At 40.7% G+C, this 13,902-nt stretch overlaps 1 long non-coding RNA gene across 5 annotated transcripts in view; it reads right to left on the bottom strand.

Moving 5' to 3' along the window:
• CT75 (cancer/testis associated transcript 75) overlaps positions 1-13,902 on the bottom strand; it is a 39,440-nt gene that overhangs the window by 23,403 nt on the left and 2,135 nt on the right. Inside the window, exons 1-2 of one of the 5 annotated variants that reach the window (NR_136639.1) lie at positions 13,244-13,847; positions 12,786-13,041 (exon numbers count right to left, since the gene is read on the bottom strand). The exons of 1 other annotated variant lie outside the window; for it this stretch is intronic. This is a non-coding gene — a long non-coding RNA (cancer/testis associated transcript 75). Of the gene's footprint in view, positions 1-12,785; positions 13,042-13,243; positions 13,848-13,902 lie in introns of those variants that run through there. 3 more of the 5 variants (NR_136641.1, NR_136640.1, NR_136638.1) reach the window with 3 other exon arrangements.

The raw sequence follows: 13,902 nt of genomic DNA, 5'->3' as shown, positions 1-13,902 counted from the left end.
CTTCTTTAATATCATAATATGATTGTTTTTCATAAATTTCTTTTTCATTGGAATCTGTTCGTGGAAAGTTAATTTGTTCCTTTGGAGGTGTCATATTTCCTTGTTTTTTTTTCATGTTTCTTGTGTCCTTATATTGATAGCTGTGCAGCTGGCATAATAGTCACTTCTTCCAATTTTTAAAATTTGCTTTCATTGGGGAGAAATTTTTTCTGAAGACACATCTATGCTATTGGTTGGGTAGGACACTTTGGCCTTGATTGTAGGTGTGTGCAGTAGTGTGGTCTCCATATGATTTCTTTGGATACAAACAGTGTCAGTAGTGCCTATGATTTCTTTAGTGGCTTAGGGGGCTGTTATTAGTAGGGGCTGTGGTAAAGTTTTGCTGTGAACAGGCATGTCAAGCAAGCCAATCCTTGGGTTCCAGTGGTGACAGCAGCAGTCCAAGCATCCCTGTCCTTGGGCCCCATGGTAGTATACACTGGCACTGGTGTTAGTGGGTTCAGGTCAGCTGATTATTGGGCCACCAGGAGGATTCCTTGGGTGTTGGCAGTCACAGCAGTGAGCCAAGTGGGTGGGAGGGTCCTTGGACCCCTGGGCATCAAGTATGGCCTGGGTGATGGCAGTAGCAGTGGCAGGACAATATCTGGCTATCCTGGTGTTGGTGCTTGGTGCTGACTGTGTTGGGCAGGGTGGGCTTGTCCCTAGGCCTGCAGCTGGGGCATACAAGTGGGTGGCAGCTGTGGTGGTAGTGGCAGGTTGGTGGGGCTGTCCTCAGGCCCCTGGGAGGGGTGCTTAGGTGCCAATAATGGTAGATGAAGTTGGGCAATCCCAAAGCACCCAGACATCATGCTCAGGCACTAGGGGAAGGGGGATGGAGCCGGGTCAGGTGGGCCTATCTTCAGGCCCTCTTGGTGGTACATGTAGGTGCTGGCTGTGGTAGGCCGGAATGTAGTGATCCCAGGCCATTGGCAGAATGCCTGGGTGGGAGCAGCAGCAGCTGTGCCAGGACCCTGCTGCTAGGGAGGGCAGGGTTGCTTTCAGTGGCAACAGTAAGGTGGCTGGGGAGCACACATTTTGGCCTCAGGTGGCTGCTATAAGTGAGATAGCCTTTTTTTGGGATGCCTTTAAATGCACAGTGGCCCTGCTACTGGAGGCAGCTGGGTTACTGACAATGGCTTGCATTTTGGCCTTGGCAGCAGAGCCAGCTGCGGTGGTGAATAAAGGTGGAGAATGTCAATGGGGCTCCAGGGATGTGAAGATACAGGGGCTATTGGGCCCTCCAGCAGAATACAGTATGATAGGGGCTGTGTTCTCAAAATGGTGCCTTCCTGTAGCTGCTTAGGATTTAGGAGCTGTCTAGGACCCTGTGTGAGCTTCCTCTCAGAATGAATACTGTGGGAAGTCTCCAGGCAGCTCCCTATGTTAGTCTCAGGGGCTGCTTGAGTTGAATGGCTCAGGGTCCGGGCTAGGATTTCAGGAGTCCATGGTAAGAAGGTGGACCTGCCGGGGGTTTCTCATTCACCCTTTTCCCACATTGGAGAACTTCTCTAGGCTCCCAGCAGATGCCTGCTGAGCAGGCTGCCTCCCTTCCCCCTCCTTCCTTGTCTTACATGTTTCCTGTCACTTCTCTCTTAAATTCCAGCATTCTCTCTCTCTCTCTCTCTCTCTCTCTCTGTCTCTCTCTCTCTGTCTCTCTCTCTCTCTCTCTCTCTCTCTCTCTCTCTCTCTCTCTCTCGGTGATCTATTTGAAGTGTGATTATGCAGTCACTATCTTGGTTCTTTGTGGAGAAGGCAGCTCCGGATGCCTCTGGTCAGCCATTTTGAGGCCCCTCCTTGGTTGATTAGATTAATAATCTGGCCAGCTGGGATACAGTCATGTATCTGTCTTTCATGTATTTGAATAGTTTCTATATACTCTGTCCCTTTAGTTCAATAGACAAATGTGCATTCTTTTAAAAGTAACAATAGCAACTCTGGTGAAGAAAATTTGAGTTTAAACCAGAAGTGGGTTTACCATGAAACCAATGAAGCTTGTTTCAAGACCCCTTATTTGAACTTGAAGTGTTCCCATGTCCATATGTTCTCATAAAATTCACAGGAATATATTTTAACTGCAAATCTTTAAGACCATTGTTTCTTTCCACTTCAACTTCCCCTTGTTAGGGTTAGGTAGCATCGAAGAAGCCACGGGCATTTTTGGACCGTGTTTAAGGAAGTTGATCTTTGGTTTTGGTTTAGTGAAATATTTATGCAGTTCACAGATTCTTCCGTGTAGAGGTTAGCTGTCCCAGTGCAGAAAACAATTTTCAGTCCTAATCTTACCACTCCCTATATCTGTGCATCTAACTTTATAAAAGGAAGGTGAAGGGCCCCATATAACCCTCATAATATGCCACATTATTAGGGACACCAAAGATAAGCTGGTCAGTGAGTGTCGTCAATTCAGAGTACTTAAAATTACTCCCTGCAACAAACAAATCCCTAAAATGCCTTGAAATTTTACAGCCCATATATGAAATTCACTTGAGAGAAGTGTTTCCAAAATTAATAATAATCCTAAAAATGTACGCGCCAATACCAACAAATTGTGAAGCCAAAAGGAACCTTTCCATACTATTAATTTTTTAAAAATATGTTGTTTGATCCACCATGCTAGAAGAAATACTGATTTCTTCTTCTAGTCTCTCCCAGAAAGTATGACAAAATTCTTGTGGCATGAATAGACAATCAAATAGTATGCAGACAAATAATTTTATTGAGGGGTATGTCAGATAGCTAATTAGTTGAAAAAAATTTTTTTCTGGATTTTGAGATCGTTCCTGAATTTATCAACTTTAAATGTTTTGTTGTGGCAGTGGTTTATTTTATAATTCTAAATGAATACTTAACTTCTTACCAAGCAGTTTTAATTATTTTTCTTAAAAAGGACCTCCAAAATGGTATAAGCTTCAGGTCCATGGGCTTGCCCCTGCTTGAAGTGAGTACCTCACCCACATACTCTAATAGTGGATGGGAAAGAACCTAATGGATCTGCGCTTTACAACTGCCTCAGTCTCCTGAAAACCAAATCTGCTTATTATTAAGTCAGCAAATGCACAGTTGATGGATTGTAATGACTCTGAAGGAATCTGTGTGGCCAGAAAGATAAATAATACATTGTTTAAAGGTTTTTGAATTCTTATAATGTTTTGGAAGAAGACATTTTTTAAAATACAAAAGAAATTAAGAGGGAGGATGTATCATGGTCAGAGACAAAAATACATAAACAACCAATTATGATTAACCATGCTAGATGAAAGGTGATTTGTCTCTTATTTCCATCTATGGGAAATATTACAAAAACATCATCATGTGAAGAGTCAATTAAGCAGATACCATCTAACAGAGGCAGTCTATCTTGGCTCAATATACCCTTAGAATCTGTTTGTTTCTTTTCAGCAAAGGTACTGCTGCACGTAGGATGGTACATGGCTTCAAATAGATGATGCGAATGGCATATGGAAGAAATTAGCCTGTTTCTTTATTGTTAACACATCCGGTTCTCCATACATGTCGAATCTCACTCCCAGCTTTAGCCCTTTATAGGTATAAAGGGAGAAGTCGATTCCTATGTTGGTAGATGTGCCCCTTTGTCTTATGCACTTTCTCTCCTGCACCACTCAATATTTATAATGCAGCATCTGAATCTGTTTCTTTAAAATTCTCTTCTCTTAAGGCTTTTAGTCATACCTTAGATACAGGTTTACAAAAAGAAAAATTTTGAGGCTGTAAAAATTTGATAAACACTTGTTTATACCACATCGAACTGATTTCTTTACATCTTTGTAACAGTACTTCTCAGAGCCTTTAATGAGTAGAAAATATAGAATGTAGTTTGGAATACTTCCCAAATTATTTGATGACAAAAACTTTTTTTTGAGGAACTAATATTTTAGAGACCATAATTTCAGGAAATTCTGCTTCAGACTATAATGAAATGAGACAATGGAATTTAAATGCTTTAACATAAAAACCAAAAAATTATATGGTACTTTGATAATAACTATTATTATTATTATTAAGACTACCATGTTCAAAGGAATCAATTGTTTCTCTCATTCTTTTCTAATAGGTGTCATTTAAACTGTATGTATAGATCTGAAAAGAAGATGCACTAAGACAAACATGTTTGCTTGCATAATTTTCTGCTGTAATAGTTTTGTTTTACAAAGAGATTGAGAAAAATTATACAAGCTTCTAGCTATTGAAATTTTTCCTGTGGTCTCAGTAGTTTTCACTATGTTTTTAAGATTCTTCACTGGATTTATCAAAGAACAGTGACTATCAATGCAACCCCTATCAGAATTCCAATACTTTTTTTGCAAATGTAGAAAAATTCATTCTAAGATTCATGTGGAATCTCAAGGGGCCCTGAATAGCCAAAACAAATTTGGAAAAGAAGAACAAAGTTGGAGCATTCACACTTCCTGATTTCAAAACATATTACAGAGCTACAGAAATCAAAACAATGTGGCACTGTCACAAGCACAGACAAATAGACCAACGAAATAAAATAGAGAGCCCCAGCTGGGCATAGTGGCTCACGCCTGTAATCTCAGCACTTTGGGAGGCTGAGAAGGGCGGATCACCTGAGGTCAGGAGTTCCAGAGCAGCATGGCCAACATGGTGAAACCCCATCTCTACTAAAAATACAAAAATTAGCCAGGTGTGGTGGCACACACCTGTAATCCTAGCTACTCAGGAGGCTGAAGCAGGAGAATTGCTTGAACCCAGGAGGTGGAGGTTACAGTGAGCCAAGATTGCGCCAGCACACTGCAGCCTGGGTGACAGAGTGAGACTTTGTATCAAAAAAAAAAAAAAAAAAAAAAAAATAGAGAGCCCGGAAATAAACCCATGTGTATAATCAAATGATCTTTGACAGGGGTGCCAAGGTCACTCAAGGGGGAAAGGACAGAGAAGTGGAGAAATGGTACTGAGAAAACTGGATATACATGTGCAAAAGGATGAAGCTGACTTTTATTTTATACCATATACAAAAATTAAATCAAAATGAATTAAAGACCTAAAAGTAAGACCTAAAATTATACAACTCATAGAAGAAAATATATAAGTGAAGCTTCATGACACTAGACTTGGCAATGATTTCTTGGATACAATACCAAAAGCACTGGCAACAAAAGCAAAATAGACAAATGGGACTGCATCAAACCTAAAAACTTCTCCACGTTGAAGGACACAATCAACATAATGAAAAGGCAACCTATGGGATGGGAGAAAGTATTTGCAAATCATATATTTATGGGGGTTAATATCCAGAATATGTCAGGAATTTCTACAATGACTCAATGACAAAAAAATTTAATAACCTAATTAGAAAATGGGCCAAGGCATTGAACAGACATTTCTCCAAAGATGATATACAAATGGCTAACGGGCATATGAAAAGTTGCTCAATATCACTAATCATCAGAGAAATGCAAGTCAAAACCACAATGAGATTTCACCTGAGACCCATTAGCATGGCTATCAAAAACAACAGCAACAACAGCAAAACCCAAAAAACAAAATAATAAGTGTTGGCAAGGGTGTGGAAAAATTGGAATACTTACATACTACTGGTGGAATTGTAAAATGATGCAACTGCTATGGAAAACAGTATGAAACTTTCTCAAAAAATTAAAAATAGAACTGCCCTATGATCCAGCAATCTCACTTCTGGGTATATGTCCAAAAGAACTGAAATCAGTACGTCAAAGAGATATCAGCACTCCCATGTTCAGAGCAGCATTATTCACAATAGCCAAGAGCTGGAAGAAACCCAAAGTGTCCACTGATGGTTGAATGGATAAACAAAATGTGATATACACATACAATGGAATATCATTCTGCCTTAAAAAGGAAGGAAATGCTAACACATGCTACAACAAGAATAAGCCTTGAGGAGATTATTCTAAGTAAAATAAGCCAGTAACAAAAAGACAAAAAACATATAATTCCACTTATATGAGGTATCTAAGTGGTGAAGTTTACTTTTAATGGCAAGAACTGCAATTACTTTTGCACCAACCTAATACAAACAGAAAGTAAAATGATGGTTACCAGGGGCTGGGGGGAGCTGGGAAAAGGAATTTGTTCTTTAGTGGGTATAGAGTTTCTGATTTGAAAGATAAAAAGCTCTGGATATCTGTTTCATAGCAATGTGAATATACTTAGCATTACTGGACTATACACTTAAAAATGGTTACGATGATAAATTTTATGTTATGTGTTTTTCACACACACACACACACACACACACACACACAAAACCATAAATAAAACAGTGACTGTTTGGGAGCTCCTCAAAGATGAATGAAGGCCATTTATAACTAGACTTTCTGGAACAATTGACTTTTTTTTTTTGTGACAGAGTCTCACTCCATCACCTAGGCTGGAGTGCAGTGGCACAATCTTGGTTCACTGCAACTTTCGCTTTCCAGGTTCAACAGATTCTCCTTCCTCAGTCTTCCAAGTAGGTGGGATTACAAGTGCCCACCACCATACCTGGCAAAGTTTTGTATTTTTAGTAGAGATGGGATTTTGTCATGTTGGTAAGGTTGGTCTCAAACTCCTGGCCTCAAGTGATCCACCCACTTTGGCCTCCCAAAGTGTTGGGATTACAGGCGTGAGCCACTGTAATCTGTGTAGAACTGTGTAGCCACTGTAAACTGTAGGCCAAGCACACTGTTAACTGTGCTTGGCCTATAGTTAACTCTTGAACAATTCAGAGGTTAGGGGAACCAGCCCCCTGTTCAGTCAAAAATCTGCATGTAACTCTTGACTCCCCAAAAACTAAAAGCCTACCATTGACCGGCAGCCTTATAGATAATATAAATACTTGATTCACACATATTTTGTATATGTTTTATAAGCTGTATTCTTACAATAAAGCAAGCCAGAGAAAAGAATATTATTAAGAAAATCATAAGGAAGAGAAAATATATTTACTATTGATTAAGTGGAAGTAAATCATCATAAAGGTCTTCATCCTTGTCGTCTCCATGTTGAGTAGGCTGAGGAGGAGGAGGAAGAGGGGTTGGTCTTGCTGACTCAGGTGTGGCAAAGGAGGAAGAAAATCCATGTATAAATGGACCTACGCAGTTCAAACTCATGTTGTTCAACTGTACTTCTCTTTCTGTGTACCTTTGTTCACTTTTGTTCTAATCAAATGAGTTCTTTTAATAAATTCCCCTTGGAGCCAGGATACTTAAGAGATTATAAATAGATGGCATATGTGTATAATGGGTGTTAAAAGTGAGAAATTGACACCAAGTCTGAAATGTTTTCATTTGATGTTTCCTTTCCTTTCAAATTTTGCAACTGGTGATCAAACACATCAAGGACTGCTTGGCCATACAGTCTGTGATGCCTTTTACTACTTAGATCTTTGCGAAGTATCAAGGAGACTAGAGTCTCAGAAGCTGGGCCATCTCCTCACCTCCTACAGTCCATGGGAACCTACAATACCTCTTCTTTCAGTCAAAGACTTGATTAGACTTAACACCATCTTTGGCTTTTATTCTCCCTCAAGGTCAAGACCATCCCTGGTGTCAGGTTGGGAACTTGAGTGCCTTTAGTATTTCACAGCACTAGGGCAGCCTTTTGAGTTTTGAGAATCATTGCTTTGATAGAAGTGCCAGGACAAATAAAGGTAAGAAATGCAATACAATTGCAGCTTCATTTACTCCTATTTGTGGCATCCAAGAAGGTGTATTTCTTTATATTAAAAGTGCTGTATTTTACTTTTATTTCTCAAAGAGAATATTCATAGCTCAAAGAGAAAGAGCTTTTGCAACTTCAACACACATTTTTGACCTGATAAAGTGTGTTTATATTAATAGCATCAAATAAAAGGGTAGAATTATAAGAGGGAAAAAATTTTCTGGCAACAATGCAGACTTGATTGAAAGAGTCCAGGCTACAATGACGTTTCAGAAATAAAGTACATTGCATGTATTTCCATTTGATCTTGTGTTTGGCATACAAAGTGTAGGAAATATTAGAAGGGAAAAAGCTATTTTAGAATTGAGCCTGTAGCTGGTTGGCATAGAAAGCATAAGTTCATGAATGGCTTCCAGATATTAAGGTAGGACAATCATTTTCCCAGGTGAGGAGATGGCCCAGCCTCCTAGACCTGCATCTTTTAAAACTTTGAAAAGATCTGAAGAACAAAAAGCTTCAGAGACCATGTGTAGATTAGAAACAGGTATTTAAACAAGTATTTCTTCCACGGTGGATTTAGTAATTCTTACAAAATCCACCGTGGAAGAAGCTCCTATTTTTCCATTCTGCCATTTTACCATTGTTCTATTTATTATATAACATTGATAAGCTCCCATATTTCTTCTTCATCTGCTTTGGCCCATGCAGTCTGGGTTTTGGAGCAATGATATCACCAATGCCTTGAGTGATAAGGGCAGTGGTCTGAGGTCTGAGCAGCGCCTGTGAAGAGTGGAGAGAGGAAGAGAAGGACTCCTAGGACTAGTGCTGGGCAGTGAGCTCAGCCTTGATTTTCCTCCCTGTTTCAAAAAGGGGACATCTGGGCTCCCCTCCCGCTTCAGCGCTTCCTTGAATTCTTTCTGTTTTGTTTTTGTTTTGAGATAGAATCTTGCTCTGTCACCCAGGCTAGGTACAATGGTGCAATCGTGGCTCACTGTAGCCTTGAACTCCTGTACCCAAGGGATCCTCCCTCCTCAGCCTCCCTTTGTAGCTGGGACCAAATGTGCACACCACCACACTTGGCTAATTTTTATCTATTTTTATATTTTGTAGAGATAGGAGCTGGCCATATTTCCCAGGCTGGTCTTGAACTCCTGGCCTCAAGTGATTCTCCCACCTCTGCCTCCCAAAGTCCTGGAATTAAAGGTGTGAACCACCACCATTAGCCTTCCTTGATTTCTTTTTTCTCTCTTTCTCTCTCTCTCTCTCCCTTTCTTTCTCTCTCTCTCTCTGCCTGCCTGCCTGCCTGCCTGCCTGCCTTCCTTCCTTCCTTCCTTCCTTCCTTCCTTCCTTCCTTCCGTCCTTCCTTCCGTCCTTCCTTCCTTCCTTCCTTTCCTTTCCTTTCTTTTTTCCTTTTTCTTTTTTTTTTACAGTGTCTTCTCGGCTGCCCAGGCTAGAGTGCAGGAGTGTGACTCACTGCAGCCTCAAACTCTACAGCTCAAGGGATCCTGCTGCCTCAGCCTCCTGAGTAGCCAGGACTACAGGCTAATATTTTAGTTTTTTGTAGAGACAGTCTCTCTGTGTTGCCCAGGCTAGTCTTGAACTTCTGTCCTCAAGTGGTCCTCCTATCTCTACCTCCCAAAGTGCTGGGATTACAGGTGTGAGACACTGCACCCAGCCGTAGATTTCTTAAAGACGGCAGAGAACAAAAAAAAGGCCAAAGGAAAAAAAATGAACAAAAGAGCTAGATTCCAGATTATTTTCTCCAGTCCCTCAAAACTAATGTGCTTAGTGAGGTCTTCAAAAATGTAGGCATTATTTGTGCTATTTTTATACAGATGATCCCAATTTTGAGTGTGTCTCTAAGATTGATGACTGTTATGAACATTTTTAAATATCACGGAAGATAGTAGTATAATGAGCATCTGTATCCTCATCATCTAGCTTTATCCATTTTCATACATTATGACAGTCTGATTGTTGACTCACTACTATTTACTAAAGTCCATGCTTTAGTTGGATTTCCTTAGCTTTTCCCTAATGCTCTTTTTCTGCTCTAGGATTCCCTCCAGGATGTTACTACATCACATGTAGTCATCCTGCCTCCTCAGGCTCCTCTTGGCTCGTCTATTAAATTATTGGGTCCAGGAGGCCAGGTATTTTATCACCAGCACCAATGGCTTCTGGAATAGGACCTCAATAAATGTTGATTGAATCGACCTGGTTTCTATTTTAAAATGTCAAGGCTTTGATTGAACCATCTAGTACCTGCTTCTGAGTGGCATGATCTGCCTATGTATATATATTCCTCCAATATCTACAGTGAGATTTCACTTTGTCCTCATGTTTTATGCAGGGCTTTATTTATTGCAAGTAGTAGATCAATAATGTGTGATTAAATTCATAGGTCAGGCCTCTGCCTGGTCTTCTTGACTGAGCTACTACCTGTATCTCTATCTCTGAAATAACAGAAGAGATGCATGAGAACTACTTTGCTCCTGTTGGCTGTGTCACCTTACGCTGATTACATAAACTTTCTGAGCCTCTCTCACAGGGTTTCATAAGAATTACTGAGATCAGGTATAGGAACCACTGACATAGATAATACTGAGTGTTAACAGCAGCCCAGGAGTCTTTGTGTGTTATGTGTACAGCATATTCAGTCTTCACAACAGACTTATGCAGTAACCACCCTTATCCTCATTTTACAGTTTGGGAAACTAAAGCACAGAGAAGCCAAATAGCACATCTAATACTACACAAATGATGAGTAGCAGAACTAGGATGTGGACTCAGGACTGTCAACTCACACCCTACGTTAATGCTTTTTCCCCACTAAGTGCTTTGTGAGACAGTAACCCCAAAACTAAAGCATTCTCTCTCTTTAGGTGGTCAGTAGAGGAAATCTATGTAAGAGATTGCCTGAGACCATGGCTGTCTCCCATTTATACACAAATCTTCAAAAATAAAACAATTCAGCAAATAGTGGATGTCTAATATGTTCAAGCATGAACAAGATTCTTGCAAAGCGAGTTCAAATACTGACATAAATACAGGATGAATATCCCTTATCTGAAATGCTTGGGATCAAAACTGTTTCAGATGTCGGATTTTGGAATATTTGCATATACATAATGAGAGAGCTGGGGGATGGGACCCTAAACATGAAATTCATTTATGTTTCGTATACACCTTATACCTATAGCCTGAAGGTAATTTTATACTCTCTCTCTCTCTCTCTATATATATATATACATATGTATATATAAAAATGGTATATGTATACATTACATAGATACATATTTTGAGACAGAGTCTCGCTCTGTATATATGTGTGTGTTGTGTGTGTGTGTGTATATATATATATATATATATTTTTTTTTTTTTGTTTGTTTGTTTTTTTTTTTGAGACAGAATCTCTGTTGCCGAGGCTGGAGTGCAATGGTGCGATCTTGGCTCACTGCAACCTCCCCCTCCCGGGTTCAAGGGATTCTCCTGCCTCAGTTTCCCAAGTAGCTGGGATTACAGGCGCCCATCACCACCCCTGGCTAATTTTTGTATTTTTTCTTAGAGACGGAGTTTCACCACATTGGCCAGGCTGGTCTCGAACTCCCGATCTCAAGTGATCCACCCGCCTCAGCCTCCTAAAGTGCTGGGATTATGGATTTGTGCCACTGTACCCAGCCTATATAATATTTTTAATATTATATTAATTTATATATGCATCGCATGAGGTCAGGTGTAGAATTTTTTCACTTGTGGCATCATGTTGGTGCTCAAAAAGTTTTGGATTTTAGATGTTTAAATTAGGGATGCTCAACTTATGCCGAGTTCCTTGTTTCTGATCCCTTTCAATACATCTTTCTCTAAAGTGGAACTCTAATTCCTACATGAATGACCAGGCTTTACTACTTAAACCTTCAGGTGACACTGGCACTGGCCTGACAGTCTGTTAAGGCAGGTGTCTATGGCCTGTGTCACACAAACTCACACTCTTTAGCAATGTCACGCCTCCTCCCTGTACCTACAGAAGCCCCACATGGCATTTTTAAGAGTCCTAAAAATGAATGATTGACTCTAGGATATAAAATAATTGATTTGGGCTCCTCTGAAAAACCTATCCAAACTCAGACAGTAAATTTTACTATGGTTAACCAAATTCTCGCAATTGTTTATGACTCCATCAACAGGATGTGTTATTGACAAAAGCTGTACTGGACCTCTCAAAGAGAGTTCAGTATTATCTAAATGACCATGAGCTATAGAAGAAATGCCTGTAGTCATTAAATTCTTTGAGAATGCTATCTTACACTAGTTAGGAGCTGTAAGATATTACTGCTTTTGGTTTCACTTTAACCAAATCTGTGACTTTGTGGTAGCTCCATGGTCCTCAACCAGAGACATTTTTGGTTGTCACAACTGGGGAGAGGTGTTACTGAGATCAAGTGTGTAGAGGCCAGAGATGCTGCTAAACATTGAACAATGCCCAGAACAGCCCCACATCAAAGACTTATCCAGCTCCAAATGTCAATTATGCTGAGCTTGAGAAAGCCCAGTGTCATCCTACACTCTGTTCCTCAAGTCTGTCATTCAATGGTGAGAATGCATAATAAAGTGAAGCTTCAAAATCTTAAGTGTTTTGCCCATATGCACACCATATTCAAACATACAGACCTTCAGAACTATTTTTAGTCACTTGGTATGGAGGCCACACTAGCCCTCCTGTTCATGTGCTTCTCTTCTCCCAGATACTCTGTTTTAAATATGTCCTACATCAGCATTACGTCTCATCTCAGCACACAGCTACTCAAGGCTTAAAGCACAAGAACCCAGTTTAACACTGCATAAATGAGCATTTTCAGGCTTTTCCCAATCATACAACTAAATGAGGGAAAGAGGACAGAAAGCCACTTCCTATAGTTAGGTTAGTGTCACTTTGTAATATTCCAAGGCCAGACTAAGGCCTTCTCAGGATGTCCCCTCAACCCACCCTCTCTGATCACCACCCCATCACTAAGTGAAATGCTTAAAAAATTGAAAGAATGTTATTACCCCAAGTAATAATTACAAAATTAAAAACTAGGAAATGGAAAATAGTGGGTTTTAATGAGCTTCACTTAAAGCCCTTCAAACTGAAGACATCACATTCACTATTAGCATGGAGTAAAACATTTATTTTCAAATGTCATAGAAACAATATTTATAAGTCCTCTTCTCCACCTCTTGTGTGGTGATTTACTGATTTCTCTCTTTCTTTCCTTCTTTTTCTTCAGCTTGCTTCCCATCCAGTCATCCTTTTTCACAAACATTCCCTGGGGCATCTTGCTGTCTTCTGCAGAGAAACTGAAAAAAAAGTAGGAACATTCCCAGCTGTGGGAATCCAGAACATTCCAAAGTCATCTTTTCTTTTGTTGAGGGGGAAGGTGGGTTCCCTGCTCATAGGGTGAGGCCCAACCTGGAGAAATCGGGGGACAGACTTTCTGGTTAGGAGTATCTGAACACCACCCCTCAGTTGGTCCTCAAGCCCACCACTCCTGTCACCTACCCAGTGCTTCTTAAGCCTTATTTCTTGCTACCCGGTCCAGTTGATCTTCTGTTTTCATTAAATCAAGAGGACCTGTCCCATGTTACCCCTGGAGTTTCAGCTCTCTACATGTGTACGTTAAAAGTTTAAGTGGACGAAGCCAGTGAGGGAGCCCAGGAACTCGGTTTAAGCCGCACTTTGACAGTCTGTGAATCTGTTTGACAACTTTCTCCCCTCTCTGCCTCTGTGAACGCCTGTGCACCAACGAAATAGCCACCTAGATCCGCTGTGGTCAGCGTCAGGAAAACAGCAAGACCCAGCTATGAATCTGTTGTCTTCGTCCTCCTTTAAATCTCAGCAATATTTCAGAGAGAGAGAGAGGGAGAAAAAAAATACTGTTCAGCTCAAAAATTTCCTCTAAATGATACAAGGAAAACGCCGCCGTTCCGTTTGTACCCTAGATGTGGGCTGCAGGGCTGCCTGGGCTCTGCTAACAAAAGCACAAAGCGTGAATGGCCTGGTGATGGCTGTTTTTTCGCCCATGGACGGAGAGATGAGATCACGATTTTCACGAAGAGAAGAAACCGCCGCTGCCAGGCGGTTGAGGCTGCCGTTTCCCCTCCCCGCGCGGGTCCCGCATTACATCACTGGTGAGCTCTGGCTTGGGGGTGGGTGGGTGA

This window comes from Homo sapiens, chromosome 2, assembly GCF_000001405.40.
Source record: "Homo sapiens chromosome 2, GRCh38.p14 Primary Assembly".
NCBI classification, from domain to species: Eukaryota; Metazoa; Chordata; class Mammalia; order Primates; family Hominidae; genus Homo; species Homo sapiens.
Note: the sequence above shows the minus strand (reverse complement) of the source record. Positions and strands in the feature narration are given on the sequence as shown.